Source organism: Homo sapiens, chromosome 17 (assembly GCF_000001405.40).
Source record: "Homo sapiens chromosome 17, GRCh38.p14 Primary Assembly".
In the NCBI taxonomy this organism is placed as follows: Eukaryota; Metazoa; Chordata; class Mammalia; order Primates; family Hominidae; genus Homo; species Homo sapiens.
The window spans coordinates 40,727,079-40,746,809 of NC_000017.11; positions in this window are offsets into that span (position 1 = coordinate 40,727,079).

The window sequence follows — 19,731 nt, forward strand, 5'->3', positions numbered from 1 at the left end:
GTCTGCCTGGATTTAGGGTCAGAACTAGTAGAGTCCTCTAGTGGTAGAACTCTACTAGTTACCAAGAAGCCTTAACTTCATCTAGAAACTTCGATTTCTTGAGCCATAGTTTTTTCACCTGTAAAATTAAGGATAATAGTTCCTGCCCTACACATGGCATAGGATTATCACATCAAATGGAGAGCGCAGAGCACTCTGTAAATTGTAATTCCATATTCAAGCATAAGGTTTGATCATTTTTATTGCTGTTTTCTTGCATTTGTACTGTATTAGTTATTCCATAAGACCATATGTTTCTAAACCGGGAGGTCAGCCTAACTTCATCTATTGAAAGGTCCGTCATAGTCCTCACCATTTTTCTATGTACATTTGGTGTTCCATTTGATGTCTTTTCTAAGGGGCTTATCTTTGAAATTTTTATATATAATTATTTACAAAAAAAGATGTAGACCCTATCTATGGATTCTTTCTGATTTAAGTTTGAGGTTGTATTCAGCTGCTCTCACATACCTTAGCTATTAGGGATTGTAGCTCAGTGTCATGGGTGTGAAGAATACGTTTTTCAGTTTCATGATCTCATATCTTGCTGCTTCAGTGGAGAACTGAGCTGGCCATGACTTACTCTGAGCTATAACATCTTGGCAAAACAGAGCTCTGAAATATACCCCTATTTTATTTATACTTATATATTTGACTAGCTACTCTATTAATTGAATTGTTCTTTAGCTTCTTAATAGTTTTGCTTGACAAAAATGTTGCGTTACGTTTATCAACATTCAAATATTAAGACCGGTCGGCAGCTGGGGCAGCATTCCTTACAGTAATTATATGACTACTAGACTATTCCGCAATCTCATTGCCTAATCAAAAGGAACAGAAAAGATTACATTAAAACAGGAAAAATCTATACTTCTATTTTCTCTGATTTTTTTTTTTTCCTAAAACAAACCCTGAAGAAAATGATTGTTTTGGAGGAGAGGTGGAAAAGCATTGAGGCGTGATTCCCTTCTGTGGTGAGTCACTTTCTTCAGTTTGGTTTCATATTCATTTCCAGGCCAGCAGTTGTGAAAGTTTTCAGGGCATTGCCTGTGTCGTTGACCTCCATTTTGCACTCTACATAAACCCAGTTTTGATGCTGGTGTTTTGGAAAAGTGGTTAAAATTGTTTCAAATAAAAATATTTTCCCAAATGTTTTCTATTAAATTACGTGTATTTTTTTTCCCCCTGATATCAAGTCCAGTAACTTCAGGCAAATTTAGTGAAATTCTCTACCATCTAGAAAGGGATGAAGAACTTAAAGGAAGGCAGATGAATTCCTTCCTTTTTTTTTTTTTTTTTTTTTTTTTGAGACGGAGTCTCTCTCTGTCGCCCAGGCTGGAGTGCAGTGGCGCGATCTCGGCTCACTGCAAGGTCCGTCTCCCAGGTTCACGCCATTCTCCTGCCTCAGCCTCCCGAGTAGCTGGGACTACAGGCGCCCGCCACCACGCCTGGCTAATTTTTTGTATTTTGTTTAGTAGAGACGGGGTTTCACCGTGTTAACCAGGATGGTCTCGATCTCCTGACCTCGTGATCCACCCGCCTCGACCTCCTAAAGTGCTGGGATTACAGGCATGAGCCACCGTGCCCGGCCTCCTTCCTTTTAAAATTCAAAAATCTTAATTTTAAAAAGTCTTAACTCAGAGTAGTGGTTTCTTTAAGATCTCGAATGAGTTAGTGATAGTGCTTGAACAAAGATCCAAGACACCTGCACTTTTATTTGTTTACTGACAAGATGAAGATTATTCTTCCTTACATGGCTTTGTAGATTTTGGTGTTGTATCCAAAGAGGAAATTGTATTAAAATATCTGAAAAAACTGGAACCACATCTTCCTGCTATAAGATACAGATTTTAAAGATTAAAGATGGAAATGTTGATAGCTTCAGAATAATTTATTTTGGACAAGGATACATGTAATGCCCATGTTGCTCATATTGTATATTGTATAACAAGGTAATATGAATATTTCAAACTCACTGTGCTGTTTATGATGAACATAGCAGTTAAAAGTTGGTGCTATTGCTTCATTCATTTACAATTTTTCTATCACTCCATTATTCTGCTTATTTATTATTCTTTTATTATTCAATTTATTATTCTATTCATTTATCAATTATTCTATTTAGCTATTTTATTATTGTTATATATTATACATCTTATATATAATATATAAATAAATATATATAATATATAAATGTAAATTGTATATATATATATTTGAGACAGGGTCTGGCTCTGTTACCCAGGCTAAAGTGTTGGGGAGCGATCTTGGTTTACTGCAACCTCTGCCTCCTGGGCTCAAGAGATCCTCCCCCTTTGTCCTCCCTAGTAGCTGCATGCACCACCACACCTGGCTAATTCTTGTGTTTTTTGTAGAGACGGGGTTTCATCATGTTGCCCAGGCTGGTTATTTATCTTCTATTTTACATTATCAGTAGTAAGTCAACTTTTATCAATTATTTAATATTTATTGAGCATCTTGCAAAAACATTCTGCTAAACCTTGGGAATAAAACTAACAAGTAATAGTCCCTGCTCTTAAAGAATTTCATATATAAGCCTGGTCAATATATCGAGAACTTGTCTCTACAAAAAGAAATTAAAAAGTTAGCTGGGCATAGTAGTGCATACCTGTAGTCCTGGCTACTCAGGAGGCTGAGGCGGGAGGATCACTTGAGTCCAGGAGTTTGAGGTTAGGGTGAGATAGGATTGTGCCACTGCATTCTAGCCTGGGAGACAGAGGCAGGGGGGTGGGGGTGGGGCAGTGGGGAGAAACCCTTCATGTATAATTTTTGTTGTATTTTATATAATCACAGCAAGTCTTCTCTTACATATTCTTCACCATGTTCAGTAAGTGTCCGAAAAATAATTTGCATTTTTTTTTCGCCTGCTGAGAAACAGTAGGGAGATATTATTAATTGTCCAAGTGTTGACCTAGAGGAAGACTCTGGGCTGCAGATGGCTGATTTATCATCTTCCCTTGTTGGCAAATAGCTGCCCTAGTTACAGACCCAGTTTCCATGTTTCTTGGTACCAGAAGCTCACTTTGCCATCCCACTACCTACTTCCAGTCCACCTTCTGCCACAGACTTGCAACCATGTCCTGCTGCCCAGTAGAACCCAGATTCTCTCCCCAGTTTGCTGAAGTTTTGTGCTGCTGCTTTGCTGCTAAAACCAAAACCCCATCTGTCATCTGCTGCTAAAAAGTTGTGCCATCTCCATAAGGTCCAATCACCCAAATTCCTTTCCACCACCAAACCGTCGAGACCAGTGTAGGAGACGCTGTAGGGGAGCACGTCTATGTCTCTGCCATTGACTGCTCCAGTGTTCTAGAGTGTTAACATCATAAGTGGGGCACCTATTCCATCTTAAATTCAACAACGCTATTGAGCACTTCCTCTGTGGTAAGTACTGAGCTGGGAGCCAGGGATAGCACTTTGATAGATCAATAGAATTTCAGCTACATGTGGTTTAAATAGGGTATTGTGGAATTTTATAACTATTTATACCATTGCTTCTGTGGAGAATTACATCAAGTTCTGAAAGGTCAGCATGGCATGGCAGCTAAAAAATCCTGGAGCCACATTTTTGTACTTCCAGCTCCCCACTGATTATTTGGCTATTTACTAGATGTGTGACCTTCAGCACGTGACATAACATCTCTGTGCCTTCATTTTCTCATCTGTAAGTTGAAGACAATAGCTCCTGCTTCATAAAATTATCACAAGGATTAAATAAGATATGTTTGTAAAGGACCAGGAGTAATTCCTGGCATACAGGATGTGTGAAATATATTATTAAATAAAAACATTTATTAACAACTCTTGGAATACAACCTTCTTTTGGATGATTGAGAACTGCTTTTGTTTTTAATGACAAATGGATGTAATCAATAACCATTATGGCTATCTATAAGATTTTAATGACTAGCAGCTGTTAACTTCAAAAATAGAAAGCAAGATTATGTTGCAATGCATTATTTTTTTTTATTTTAAAAGCCCCTCCTAACAATTACATCTAATAAAGAGGTTGAAGAGTGTAGGTTTTTTTGCTTGACTCATCAATTCTTCAATTAGTGGATAATACTTGTTGTAATTTTTGGCTGGACCAAATCCCTGCTGACTTTGTTGAGTGAGCAGCTTGTTTAATACTGTACCCTGGTAACTGAGGGTTTCCCAGACCATCTGTTCTTCATGTGGGAAAAGCCCACTGTTGTAGAAGTTGGCCTTTACATCTCGACACTACCTAAACTGCAGGTCTGTTCATCATCATGGAAAGCTACACCACCTACACCGCTATCCCTAATCTGCCTCAAGTGCCACTTTTCAAAAATATGTCCTAATGATTTATCAGATTAAACACGTTTGGCTCCTTTAAATAAGACATCATTTTCTTGTCTAACCTCTTCTGCTATCGATGCTTTTGCATTTCCACATCACTTTTGCAGTTTTCAGCTACATTTGTATGTGTCATTGTAAGTGAATACTTACTAGAGCTGTGAGAGGCAATGAGGGCATTTTACAGAGAAGAAAACTGAGGCTCAAAAGTTATGTTTTCCTCTATGCAATACAATCTGTTACTGCAAGAATCAGGATTAGAATCTGAGTCTCTTGATTCCCACCCAACACTCATTTTCCTACCTAAAGTCCCCTGAGGTACAGGGCTTATGGTTGCCACCTTCGCTGATAGTCTCTGAGGGTGTGTCACTGACCATCCATTTACCTTGAGGAGGTGCTAGGCTGAAAGGTGTACACGCCTGCAGAGATGAAGTTTATGGGTAAAAAACATGGTTCTCCCAGTTTTTATGATTCCTTACACATGAAATTCAGTGTTCCTCCATAAGTTCTGTCCCTTTGTAGTGATTTAAAAATTATCACCACATATTTTATGTTTCATAATATTTTATTTTTTGGGGGAAAGAAAGAACATCTTTGTGTATATTTGTGTTTTAACTGTGACACAGGCAGATACAGTAATGCGGTTTTATAACATTAAAATTTTAATCCTTTTTAATGAGTAATATTTTCTTACCTTTTACTCTAATTTCACCAACTTTGCTTTCAGATCTTCCTTGTGAGACAAGTTTGGTGAACATTATAATTAAACAAAACTTCCCATGAAATCTACCAATTTTCCTATGATTCTGAGAATCATACTTGTTTCAATAACCGAGAGGCATTCTGTCTTTGTCTTGGTGAATTCTCCTTAGTGAAGTGAATATATTTTATTTTCTCTTCATTGGCATTAACCAGTGGCATAAAATTAAACATTTTTGGTTTGCGTTGCAGAAAAGACGTGACATCTGATAGTTTGTTGCTATGCCTGCCCATAAGTTTTGAAATCATTTTCTATAAAATTGCTTTTTGTGGAATAACTTTCAAGGGGTTGAGTTTTTTGAAATCCTTGCCAAATTCCTGGGGTAGTGTGTTGAGTGGGAAGAACACTGGACTAATAATTTGTAGACCTGGGTTCAAATTCTGTACTTTCACTAAATTGCTTGTGACCCAGGACAAAACAAGTAACATCTCTAATCTGGATCTTGATCTATAAATGATCATCACACTTCTTGTAAGGGTTTTGTGAAGATCAACTTTTACTTTTTGTCTGTATATTAAAATCCTAAACTAATATATAAACGTAAAGTATAATCACTATTAAATTAATTGCCAGTGTTTGTTTTCTTAAGTTCTGTCTCTAGACGTTAAGAAAAATCTATATTGTAGGTGAAGAGGAAGGGAAGAGTGGGTTTTATGTCTTGGAAGATAAATTTTTATGTTAGATTTAAGGCAGTACCCATTTGTAATTTTGTCTTGCATTTCTGGGTCTAGAAACTTAATTGTGGCAATAGATTGAAAATACTACTTTCTGATATGTTTGAAACATGCCTATTTGCATTGCTTGAATTTCCCACTTTTGCTTTAATCACCTGGAAAATGGTTTCAGTGAATGTAAGTTTTTCTTAAGCTTGCCCTGATTCAATTATTTCTCACACAAAAACTTCATCCCTCTTCTATAGTCAAAGATTCCGAACACTGTTAGATCCCTCTGAGCCTGAGTGGAGATTTAGGTACTCTCAGGGGTAATTGTCTTTATTTTCTGCTGAGGTGACTTCTGTAGAAAGATCTCAAGTCTTTTCTGCAATTAGGCTTTGCATACATGCATGTGCCGAAGATTGGCAGGAACTCAGCAGATGCTAAATATTAAAGACGGTCTCTAACAGAGAACTCTTTTTTTTTTGAGATGGAGTCTTGCTCTGTCACCCAGGCTGGAGTACGGTGGCGCAATCTTGGCTCACTGCAGCCTCCGCCTCCTGGGTTCAAGCGATTCTCCTGCCTCAGTCTCCCCAGTAGCTGGGATTATAGGTGCCCACCACAAGGCCCAGCTAATTTTTGTATTTTCAGTAGAGACGGGGTTTCACTGTGTTGGCCAGGCTGGTCTTGAACTCCTGACCTCGTGATCTGCCCTCCTCGGCCTCCCAAAGTGGTGGGATTACCGGCATGAGCCACTGTGTGCAGCTTTTTTTTTTTTTTTTTTTTTTTTTTTGACTGGGTCCTGCTCTGTTACCCAGGCTGGAGTGCAGTGGCATGATCTCGGCTCACTGCAACCTCTGTCTCCTGGGTTCAGCCATTTCTCCTGCCTCAGCCTCCTGAGTAGCTGGGATTACAGGTGCCTGCCACTGCGCCAACTAATTTTTGTATTTTTAGTGGAGATGGGTTTTCACTATGCTTGCCAGGCTGGTCTCGAACTCCTGACTTCAGGTGATCTGCCTGCCTCAGCCTCCCAAAGTGCTGGAATTACAGGCATGAGCCACCATGCCCAGCCCAAGAGAACTCATTTTAAGGAAGGATGGACTCCATTATGAGCTGTATGTGACGACAGAGCCTAGATGTCCAAGGGTATGGAGGGCTTGAGTGTGGGGTGCTCATGCATGCTGGCAGTTGGGGGTAGGACTTGTAGGGGATGAATGTGCTGAAGTGAAACTCCGTACTATCTTGGGGCTCTGCACAGGAGACCTCTTCTGCAGGAAAGGGTTAACTCAGCAGGCTTGGGGTGTTTAGATCTTGCACATACCAAAGAAAGGCGTAGCCCTTACCCAGCTCTTGGGGAAAAAGCTCTCAGCTTTGGAATATTCTGCCTGATAGGAGTGTCTTTGTATACCTGGGGCTTTAGGCCACGGCAGAGAGTTTATGCTAACAGTGTGACTTATAGTGGCGTTCTTGGGCTACGCTGTATCAGTTTGACTTCTGGAGGGGCTGCAGACTGAGTAACTGAGGTGAACCATGTGGGCGTCCCATACCTAAGTGACTGACCCCCAATAAAAACTCTGGACACCAAGGTTTGGGCAAGCTTCTCTGGTTGACATTACTATGTATGCATTGTCACACATCATTTCTGGGAGAATTAAGTGCTGTTTTTTGTGACTCCATGTGAAAGAACAATTGGAAGCTTATGCCTCGTCTCTCCTGGACATGGCCCTATGTGCCTTTTGCCTTTGCTGATTTTAATGTGTATCCTTTTACTGTAATAAACCATAACCATGAGTATAACATTTTTCTGAGATCTGTGAGTCCTTCTAGTGAACCATTGAAATTGAGGATGGTCTTGGGGGCCCCAACATACCCCTATAGAATGGAGCTCAGAAAAAGTAGAAGGGTGTTTCTTTTCTCCCTTTTTGGATAGAAACTTCCAAGTAATTGTAGCATATCATGAGACTTGAGAGTATCAGTGGCCTAGTGCAGAGCATTAAATTATAGTGGAAAAGACTGGTAGCCAGAGGTTTTGTATGTAGTTTTTTATAGGTGGCAACTAAATAACTAGAAAAATTAAATTAGTGCATCAATGTTAAGAAGACTTCATGGATCCCTGTAAACTGGTGGAGAGTGAGGACTTCTGGTTATGTTTCAGTTACTAAATCCTCTAGGTAATTTACAAATTATAGCCATGCTCTCTTAGGTATATAAATATACCTCTTTCCATATTAAGCAGAATGCCCTCAAGAACCAATGTGGTTACATTTTTCTTCCCTTTTTGGAAAGCTTTCAATTACTTCCTACCTTTGACACTAGTTCAGGCATGTTAACCACCTTGCCACATAGAACCTCCCATCTGAGCAGGAAGGTTTAGGCTGCAATGAGTGCCGTGTTCCTGCAGGTATAAGTATCACAGAGGACAGGATTAGGAACAGTGCTCTCTGTATGTTCTTTGTAGACTTGCCATTTTGGCAACACAGTCATTGGAACTAGGTCATTTTCTCCTGAATATTTTTGTTTTAATTGGCTAATTTATTCAACTCATTGTCTGAGTCTTATGGTAAAGTAGGGAGAATTGTCATTCACCTTTAAGAGGATTGATAAGGCTGGGCGTGGTGGCTCATGCCTGTCCCAGCACTTTGGGAGGTTAAGGAGGGAGGATTGCTTGAGCCCAGAGATTTGAGACTAGACAAGGCAACATAGGGAGACCCCATCTCTACAAAAATAAATAAATAAGTAAGAGAATTGATAAGATGAAATCTCTCATTCTTCTTACTAGAAATGCCTCTGAATCAACCACTTCTCATGGGGCATTAGTTTCCTCAAGGGGAAATGACACGGACTAGTCTCTAAGCTCTCTTTTATCTTTAAACTTCTCTGATAACATACAATTAATTTTTAAATTTTTATTTCCTTTTCACCGTAGTAGCTACATTGATTGAGGGTTTAATATGAACCAGACACTCTCCAAAGCGCATAGATTAGATATTTAATCATCACACCAACTCTCTGAATAGGTGTTAATATTATTATCACCATTTTACAGGTGAGGAAATTGAGAGACAAGGTAATCAGATAACTTGCCCAAGAAAACACAGCTAGAAAGGGGTAGAAATAGTTTTAAATCCAGAAAATTCGAGGCTTGTTCCCTTAACCACTCTTCAGTGTTGCCTTCTCTGACAAGTAAGGGACTACATTTTCTTTAGCTTGATATATTCCTTTGATGCATTAATAAAATGAATTAGAGGAAAAGGTCCAAGCCATGGTGCTCTGACCTGCTCACTGAGGCTGGAACCACTCAGCTGTAGTCTGAATCCTCATAGGACTACCGCTCCTGATCACATTCTCATGCCCTGGAAATTGATCACCTGGAATTGTGGAAATAGTTCTATGTACAACCACTAGGCCATTCCTGAGGCTACAAATGGTTTCTGAAATATTTTCTAAGACGTGAATAAGAAAAAAGCAAGGGAAAATGAATAAAACCAGGTGTGATATCCAAAATAGTTAACAATTATATGGCATGGACATGGATGAGTCAGAATGAATACTAGCAGCTGGTAAGTCTGGACTGGGGTCCTGGACCCCCCCCCCTGCTGTGCCTAGCATGTTTGGTTACTGATGGTGTACAGGGGGTCATGGGCAAGCCCTGCGGCCATCGTTGAGGCCATTCAGAGGGCCTCTGGGCAGTGGCTACTTATCAGCCCTATGAGCTATTTTGGTATTTTATTATATTATTTATTTATTTAGAGACAGGGTTTCAATCTGTCGCCCAGGCTGGAGTGCTGTGCTCACTGCAACCTCGACCTCACAGGTTCAAGCAAACCTCCTGCCGCAGCCCCTCAAGTAGCTGGGACGACAGGAGCGCACCACCAGTCCTGGCTTATTTTCTGTATTTTTTGTAGAGACGGGGTTTTGCCATATTGCCCAGGTTGATCTCAAAATCTTGAGCATAAGCAATATGCCTGCCTTGGTCTCCCAAAGTGCTAGGATCACAGGCGTGAGCCACTGTGACCGGCCAATTTTGGCATTTTAATGACTTGTGCCGGCACCTTTGTGGCCCTTGCTGTAACTTTGTACAAATTAGAAGAATATGCCTCCTTTCCTGGGCCCTCAGCTTGGAACATGGAGTGTGGGCTGGGCACCTTAGTGCAGGGAGTAACCTGCCAAACCTCATAGGAGACCTTTGTAATAAATATTCTCTGTTGAGAGTGGAAAGGGAAGTGCATATCAGAACTTCTAGTAGGGCTGGGATGCTGTTTCCACATTTACCCCAAAGGGACATACATTCAGCTGAGCTGCTTTATAACATGATCAGCAATGGTCATTCTTTGCAGTTTGGCTACGTTACTACAGAATGGTTTCTAGTTATGATACAGATTATGGCCCAAATTTTTGCCTACATTATCTCAGGAAAACTACTGTATAATCTGTCCCTTTTCCCTGATTGATTATCTGATTGTCTTTAATAGATGCCTTTGGATATTTATGAAGCTAAGTATGGTACAGGGTAGAGTAATCCTAGTTTATTTTGGTACTGAAGAGCTTCAATAATTAATTATTTAAATTCCTTTTAGGGTGAATCTGAATAAAGTCTTTAGTTTAGTTGATAGTACTGTACTAGTGTTAATTCTTAGTTTTGACAAATGTACTGTAGTTACATAAGATATTAATACTAGAAGATATTGGATAAAGAATATGTAGTAACTCTCTACTGTCTTTGCAACTGTTATGTAAATCTAAAATTATTTCAAAATAAAAGGTTTTAAGACAAAACAAAACAAAAATTAAATTCCTTTTAGGCCTTAGGTGCTGCTTCGAATTAGTTTTGATACAACTTGAGTCATATCATTCATTAATTCAGCTCTGAGTCTAGTACTGTGCTAGGTGGTAAGGATTTGAAGATGATTGAAACAGCCCCTGTTTGCAACAGCTTACACTGGGCCAAATCATGAGATGAATGGATAAACTGGCAATTCCAACACAGAGTGAAGATACGGTCCAAAGGTGCTATAGGATGGGTGTTCTGGGAGGACCCCCACAGGAGAATGAGTAGAAACCTTCACAAACAGCCCATGCTTCCACCATATCATGTGTAGGTTACTGCAAGAGTCCCCTGCATCCACTTCAGCCTTCCTGCATTCTCCGCACTGCAAGTGGAGTGATTTTTCCAGAATCATGGCACTCTGGGGTCTGAACATACCCATGGCTTCCCGCTGAACTTTGAATGAAGTCCAGATTCCTCCATGGCCTCATCTGATCCTCCCTCTTCTTTGCTCGCTCTGCTCCGGCCACTCTGGCCATGCTTCTATTTGTGGGACATGCCAGCCTTTTTCCTGCCATGCTGGGATCTGTGCGCAAGCTGCCTGCAGAGCTTCTTGTGATTGATTCCTTCACATCATTTGGGCCTCAACTCAAACGTCACCCCTCTGAGAAGTCTTCAGTGACCACCCTTTTCAAAGGAGCCACCCCACTCCTGTATTGGTCATGTTTTTAATTTTCTATATTTTATGATATTTCAATACCTCCAAAACTTGCTGGCTGGGGAGAGAACGCCCCTCCCTGTGCTAGCCAATTTTTAGAGGTAGCAAAGGGCTCAGCCAGGAGCACGTCTTTCTTCCACAAACCAGTTAATCCTGAGTCTAGAGCTCCAACCACCTCCTTATCTAATTCACACACCAAGCCATATTTCCCCTGCCTTACATCACCCCAGGGCCAGGTACCAGGCACCTTATAGACCAAAGCACACTGGAATTAATTCAAACCAGTCTGTCTTAAGCTGCCTACCCTACCCTGCCTTGGCTCTCCCGTGGAAACCCCAATAAAGGCTCTGGTCTAGGCTCTTTCTCCTCATTCCTTTCTGCCTCCTGGCCCACATCGGTGCTCCCCACGTGGTCTTGCACAGAATGACATGCTTCCTTCTCTGGGAAACGTAAGTAATACAAATCTTTAGTGGCACTGTCCCCTCTGTATTGTCACTCAGTTGTGCCTGTAAATTAAATCCCAGGTATCATCTTAATACACAAGCTCCATGAAAGCAGGGGCCAGTTTGTCTGGATTCCCCTAGATTCACACTCCCATAGGATTGAAGTGGGCACTGTATTGATATCTGTTGACCAAACTAATGGATAACAGACATCAGTCATCCTTTGCTCAAACTGATGTATCCACATTTTTCTACAAAGATTAAAGGAGAAATGGAACCGAGTTGGAATTATTTCACACAAAAACTATGAATACACAGTTTTTAGTTAATATTTGTAAGCATTCTCCAAGGGGCAGAGTGATAGGTGTTTTAAAAGAACAAATCAGAAATGTTTGCAGAATAAAGGTGGTGACTATGAAATATCAATTTCAATGCTATCTTCCACCTTCTCTTAGATTATCCCTAACTGAATATACATCCACCATTTGGGCAGTTTTATTACCTGTGCAGGTCTATGCGGATATAACTTTAAGCTTAAGTAAGGACAGATGCAATATTATAAGATTTGGTTTCCCTATGAAGTAAGACTTTATCTAGTAAGACATTAATGTAAATACCTGAAAATCTCATAATTGCTATGAACCAAGAATTAGCAATGACAGAAGCCACAGTGGCAGATGGAAGAGAAACAGCTTTGCTAGGGAGCCATGAAGACACACTGGCTACACTGTGTTAGTGGAAGCTCTGGAAACATCTCCAGAAAGTTGTTTTCTTTCTGCAACATAGTAATTATTCTATTTCAAAAATCACTTTCCAAATGAAGTAGTTCTATTACTGAATAAGAGTCTTATTTTTGAGAACATTCTTGATTATTGTTATTAAATGGATGGGAACAGTGGCACAGAACCCAAGGGGCATAAAACCAACAAAGTGTTTTCTATTTGGCGGGGAATGTCTTTTATGCACACATTTGTTGGGGCTGCATTGTTTGCTCTGGGAACTCAAGACAAACAATGCAAACAAAGTCTCCTGACTTACCTTAACTCTCCTCCCTCCTGGGTTCCTCCGACCCTTTTTTTTTTGTTTTGAGACAGGGTCTTGCTCTACTGCCCAAGCTGGAGTGCAGTGGTGTGATCATATCTCACTGCAGCCTCCATCTCTGGGGCTCAAGTGGCCCTCCCACCCCACCCTCCCGAGTAGCTGGGACTACAGGCACTCCACACAATGCCCGGCTAATTTTTTTTTTTTTTTTAAAGTAGAGATGAGGTCTTGCTATGTGACCCAGGCTTGTCTAGAACTCCTTACTTCAAGCCATCCTCCTCCCTCAGCCTCTCAAAGTGCTGGGATTACAGGTGTAAGCCACCGCTTCCGTCCTAACCCTATTTTCTAATTCATGTCTATCTGCATCCTCATCCACTGCTCAATGTGTTCCTGACCTCGGGTCTTCATTGTCTGCAGAGTTCTTCTTTCTGATCGACTTTCAAGGTATCAGTGGTTACCTCTCTCCTATGCAATCCAAAACCTCCCCTCCTGCTCCAATTCTTTCTCTTAGAAAATTGATTGATTGTTCTCACCTTCGTGCTTGTGTTCTAAGCTAAACTCGCCACCTTTCCATTCCACTGAATCCCTTTTCAGTTTGCTGCATCTCTCAATAGCATCGTTATTTTCTAGTCATTAGTCACTTTCTTTACTTAAAATATTGGTATTATTTTTGTCATCTGCTTAAAAATTTTTCATTGTATAATTTCCTGCATACAAAAAATTTAGAAATTGTGTAGTTTAAATAATAAATAATAGTAAAACATACCTGTATCTTAGAGACCCTGCTGTTTCTCCCCAGTGATATCTCCCCTATTACTGCTCAGGTGTCATCACTATCCTGAGTTTTCTTTATTACTTGCTGTGAAATAATAAGAAATATATAGTTGGCCTTTGTCTCTATTTCCTGGCACACAGCTTCTAAAATCCTTGTAATTTCCTCAGTGATAGAAGCATCTTTTCTTGTCCTGACCCAGAGCTCCTAAATCCTTTGAAATTTCTTGTGTGATAGGAGCATCTTTGGTTCTAATGAGGTGACTCTTGGTGGGCCGCTAAGTAGCTTTAGGATGGGGGCTGGCTGCCAGAAAGACCAAACCTTGATGAGAAGCCTAGACATTTCAGCCCTAACCCTTCCCCACCCTCCAGAGAGGGGACAGAGGCTGGAGACTGAGTTAATAATCGATCATGCTTACATGATGAAACCTCAATAAAAGCTTCTAAATGAGGGGGTTCAGAGAGTTTCTGGATTGGTGAACACATCAAGGTGCTGGGAGGTGGCCCACCCGGACAGGGCATGGAAGCTCCGTGTTCCTCGCCCCTGACCTTGCCCCGGGCATCTCTTGTATTCAGCTGTTGCTGAGTTGTATCCTTTATAGTAAACCCACAATAATAAGTAAAGCACTTACCTGAGTTCTGTGAGTCATTCTAGAGAATTATTGAACTTTGCGGAGGGGGAGGTTGTGAGAACCCTGAATTTGTAGCCATGTCAGACAGAAGTGTGGGTAACCTGCGGGCCTGATACTTGTGGCTGGTATCTGATGTGAGGACAGTCTTGTGGGACTGAGCCTTTAGACACGTGGAGTCTGACACTAACTCCAGGGTGTTAGTGTTAGAATTGAATTGAATTGTAGGACACTGAGTTGGTGTCAGAAGGGAAGAAAACCTTTCACCTGCCTTTAAAAAAGGTTTTGCTATCTACATATGCACCTCTAAACAATATCTTGTTTAGTTTTTCTATTTGGAACTTTATACAATGGAATCCGCCTTATGCACTCTGCTGGGACTTGCTTCCTTCATTTGGCTTTATGATTCTGTAACTCATCATTGTTGATGTGTGCGGCAGTTGTAGGTTGATTCTCTGGGAAGCAGAGTCAGAGCTGAGTTCAGTGTGCAGGGTGCTTATTAAAGATTGCCCTGGGATCAATACCTGTGGAAGGGGAGAAGAAAGCAGGATTGGGCACAGGTAGAAAGTGAGCTTCCATGAGGAGCTCTGGAGCTCAGTATTGTCCTGAGTGGGGCCAAGATGGCCAAGCCTTTATACTTCTGTATCAATTATTCATTGGATGTAGGGTGTGAACTCAGGTGAGGTGACACTGCAGCTGAAGCAACCCCTGAGGGGCTGATGGCTGAGGACTGCCTGCTGCCAATACCTATGCAGCTGGGATGAAAAGCTCTCCATTGGAAGCCTGCTGGATCTGGGTAGCCAGTGGGATCACAGCATCACCACAGGGGTTTATAGTCCATTATTTTCCACTGTTGGATAGCATTTTTTGTTATAGACTTCACTTTATTTATCCATCCTACCATTGATGGCTAGTATTTGGATTGTTCCTAGTTTTTAACTACTATGAACAATGTTGCATGAACATTCTTGGACATGTCTCCTGGTGCACCTGTGTAAGGGTCTTTCCAAGTTTTAGACCTCCTTAATCTGTTTGGTCTACTGTAACAAAATGCCATACACTAGGTGGCTTATAAACAACAGAGATTTATTTCCCACAGTTCTGGGGGTTGGGAAGTTCAAGATCAAAGTGCTGGCCACTTTGATGTCTGATCAGAGTCCACTTCCTTGTTCATAGATGTCACCTTCTGTGCCATGTAACACTGTGTCCTCACAAGGTGGAAGGGCAAGGGAGTTCTCTGGGTCTCTTTATTAAGGGTACCATTCTCAATCATGAGGCCTCCACCCTTATGACCTAATCACTTCCCAAAGACCCCACCTCCTCATACCATCACCTAGGCTTCCACATAGAAATTTTGGAAGATTGTAAATATTCAACCCACTGCATAGAATATGCATATATCCAAGTTGATTAGGTGAAACCGAATTTTCGAAGTTCAGAGTTACAACCTCACAAAAGTATGAGTTTCTGTTGCTCCACATACTCATATATATTTGATACAGGAAGACTTTTTGATACTTGACAAGTTGGGAAGTGTGAAATGGAAGCTAACTGTGATTTTTAATGTGCATTTCTCTGGTTACTAATAAGATTGAGTATATTTCATGTTTATTGAATGTATGGATTTCCTCTTCAGTGAGGAGCTTGTTCAAATTTTTGTGCCATTTTTAATAGGGCTGTCTCTTTTTATCCTTTATCCTCTTTTATGCTTCTCTTAAGCTTATCTATGTGTCTATCCATCTATCTACTTACCTACTTACCTACCTAATTTTTTCTCTCTGTGCTGAAGTCTGGATAATTCCCTCATTCTACTTTTCAGTTTACTAATTCTTTCTCCCACTGTGTCTAATCTACTATTGGATCTAAACATTGATATTTTAAATGTTATTTCTTACCTATATCTAGAAGTTTATATTTGGTTCTTTTCAAATATCCTTAGTCATTCTTCATAGTGTTTTGGATTCTGCTTATATTTTCAAAGTTTTAGTTTTAAAAGTATATTGATCATTTTTTATGCTCTATATTTTAAAATTGTTTCTATTGGCTCTTGCTCATAGTAACTTGTTTAGCAATTTCTGATTACCAACAGCTAATTTTCCTTAAAATTTTATTTATGAGAATCATTTGAGGCCTGGGATGATAGTGGGTCTATCTAAAGAGAATTTGCATTTGCTTCTGTTCGGCCCCCAGGGAGGTACCAGTGGTTGGGAACCCTCTTAAAGTAAATTCCCAGCTTAAAGTTATTTTCATGCAGCAAGATAGTGTGGATTTTGGCCATAACCCTATCCAAAGTTTAGCTTGTAACCGTATATTCTCAGAGTTAATTTTCCCTCTTCTCTTTATGCCAGTGGTTGAGACAGGGAACTTTTTTTGCAGTTCTCTGGCAGGGAGGTGAGAGTATTTCTAGGTCATGCTTGTATTGCATGTATGGCTTTTTGGGGCTAACACTTATAAGGAAGGGTCTCTGTTTATACTCCCCATCTTAGGCAGGTGCTACGTTTTATCTCATGTCCTTCATACTCTGTGGGGTCATAAACACTGAAGTCCAAGTTCACAGCTTCAGCAAATGCCTCAAAGTGCAAGCCATCTTCAGATTTCTCCTTTTCTCTCTGAGTTCCTTCCTTCACGTAGTGTTTGGTCAGGGTTTTCCTTGTTATTACAGCTCATTAATTTGAAGTCCTAATTAGGGAAAGGGAGTCAGGCTGGTGGAGGCAGGAAAAAGCAAAAAGATAAAGCAAATAAGCTACAAGTCTGCCTTTCTTCATGGTCCAGGACACACAGCCCTCCTGCGCAAATAATTCACAATCTTCCTGCACCCAACTATCACCAGACACCTGCAAGTTAGCTCACTACAAGCTTTGCATTATCAATACTAAACAAAGCCCTCTTCAGCAGACAGCATAAACACCATCCTATAAAATCTCCAGCAAGCCTTTCTTTGCAGTCAGCTTCTCTTCTTCTGATCCTGCTTGTTGCCTCCTCGCAATGTATTTCCTACTTTCTCTAATAAATCTACCTTTTTTTTTTTTGAGATTTTTTTGAGACAAAGTCTTGCTCTGTCGTCCGTGGTGGAGTGTAATGGTATGATCTTGGCTCACTGAAACCTCCACCTCTCAGTTCAAGTGATTCTTCTGCCTCAGCCTCCTGAGTAGCAGGGACTACAGGCACATGCCACCATGCCCAGCTAATTTTTATATTTTTAGTAGAGACGGGGTTCTGCCATGTAGGCCAGGGTGGTCTCGAACTCCTGACCTCAAGTAATCCATCTGCCTCGGCTCCCAGGGGAGAGATTAAGGGCTTGAGTCATCTTGCCCAGCCAAGTCTGCCTTTCTTTATCTACTACTCTCTTAGTAAATTCTTTTACCCCTGTGCCACCGGCCCCCTTGTTGCTCCCTTGCATCAATTAATGCTTTTTTTAAAATTTGAGACAGAGTCTCTTAGGTTCAAGCGATTCTCCTGCCTCAGCCTCCTGAGTAGCTGGGATTATAGGCATGCACCACCATGCCCAGCTAATTTTTGTATTTTTAGTAGAGACGGGGTTTTGCCATGTTGGCCAGGCTGGTCTCGATCTCCTGACCTCAGGTGATCCACACATCTTAGCCTCCCAAAGCGTTGGGATTACAGGTGTGAGCCACTGTGCCTGGCCAATTAATGCTTTTAAAAAGATTTTAAGAGGATTTTATCCAGCATTTTTAGTTGCTTCCAGTAGGAGAACCAGTTGAAACCAAGTCTCCTGTATCATCTCTTGATTCTCCTTTTTACCCCTGTGACTGTTCCTGTTGATTGTTCTTCATAGATTTTCATTCCTCTACCTATTGCTTAACTGTTGATATTCCCATTTTAGAACATGACCCCACTTCTTTTTTATTTTACATATGTACATTTATCACATTCATTCTCTTTAATATAATTTTTCCTTCAGTAAAACTTACCGACTCTCTACTCTCTAATGGAGATAACTGGTAGTTCATCCCATATGAAGACTGGCTTCTGGTGAGACATCCCAGGCCCCTCACCTTGGAGGACACAGGAACACAGGGCTTTAGCCTTCCCAGCGAGCCTATTATGTTCCCTTTCTCTTCAGGGACCTGTCCATGTCTCTCTACTTTTCTCCTCTGCCATTGGAGAAATACGAAAGGTCACTCAGGGGCCTAGAGTCTCTTCATTCAGGCCAAGACTTTCACTCTTCAAAAACTCATAATTGGAACAATCACTGGGGACCAAGTTGGTGCAAGGCACAGGCTTTGCTGTATGATGAGAAGCTGGTCAAGGATGTGTAGCGTAAGCTCTCCTTCTTTTAAAAGCTTACAGACTAGTTAGGGAGAGGGAGACACCTGACTCATCACAGCTGTGACCTTTTATAGTTTTAATTACCAACTTTAGTCTTACATGTTTCCAATATAAAATACTTCTTCTGGTTTTGATGTGTATATTTATTCATTTATTGAACAAATATTTAATGTGTACCTACCATATGCCAGACACTGTCTGGTTACTGGGGATATGATGTTGAACAAAATGGGCCATATCCCTGCCTTAGAAAGCTTACATTCTGGTGCAGGGGAAGGAACAACAAATAAATAAAATAAATAAACAAGATAAATTCAGGTGCTTATGAAGTTTCCGAAGAAAGTAAGGCAGTGTGATGTACTAATGACTTCTGCTAGAGTGGTCAGGGACAGCTCTTCTGATGAGAAGGATCAAAAGGAATTAGCCATGGGAAGATCTGGGGAAGAGCATTTCAGGCAGGGGGCACAGCTAGCGCAGAGGCTCTGAGGCAGGAATGAGCTTGCTGCATCCAAGGAATAAGAGGAGGGCAATATTGTTAGGGCTTTGGGGGAGGTGAGGGCATAAGATATGAATAGAGAGATAAGCAGAACCAGGTCACATCAGGCTCTGGAGGCCATAGAAAAATATTTAAATTTAGTCCTAGGTACATCAGGAATCCACTGGAGGATTTTTTTTTTTTTTAAAACACGGTCTCACTCTGTCACCCAGGCTAAGGTGCAATCACTGCTCTCTGCAGCTTCAACCTCCTGGGCTCAAGCAATCCCACTGCAGGATTTTAAGAAAGGTAGTGATGTATTCATCTTTCTCTCTGTCTGTGTATATAAAGAGATTAACCATTGTGTGTGTGTGTGTGTTTAAAGTCATCTTTGTTGGAGTACAATCATGATGTGCTGGTAAATGTGTAATAACCAGGTTTCAGAGGAGGAAGAATTTCTGATTTGTGGGGTTTGCTAATTTCTGCAAAAGTGTAAATACCTTCTCCATGCTGACATCAAGCTACCAAGTGATATCACTAAGTGAGGGGTCAGGAAGAGACGTGCAGAAGAGGCTGTCATGAGATGGTAACAGTTCTAGCACATGACTGGGTGTATTACAAACATATTAAAACTCACTTTTTAAGTTGTTCATGTCTATGAATCGTGACATATATAGCTGTGTAAGGATTTACATATGGAATCATCACTCTAGTCAATAAGTGTATTAGTCCATTTTCACGCTGCTGATGAAGACTGGGAAGTAAAAGAGGTTTAACTGGACTTACAGTTCCACATAACTGGGAGGCCTCAA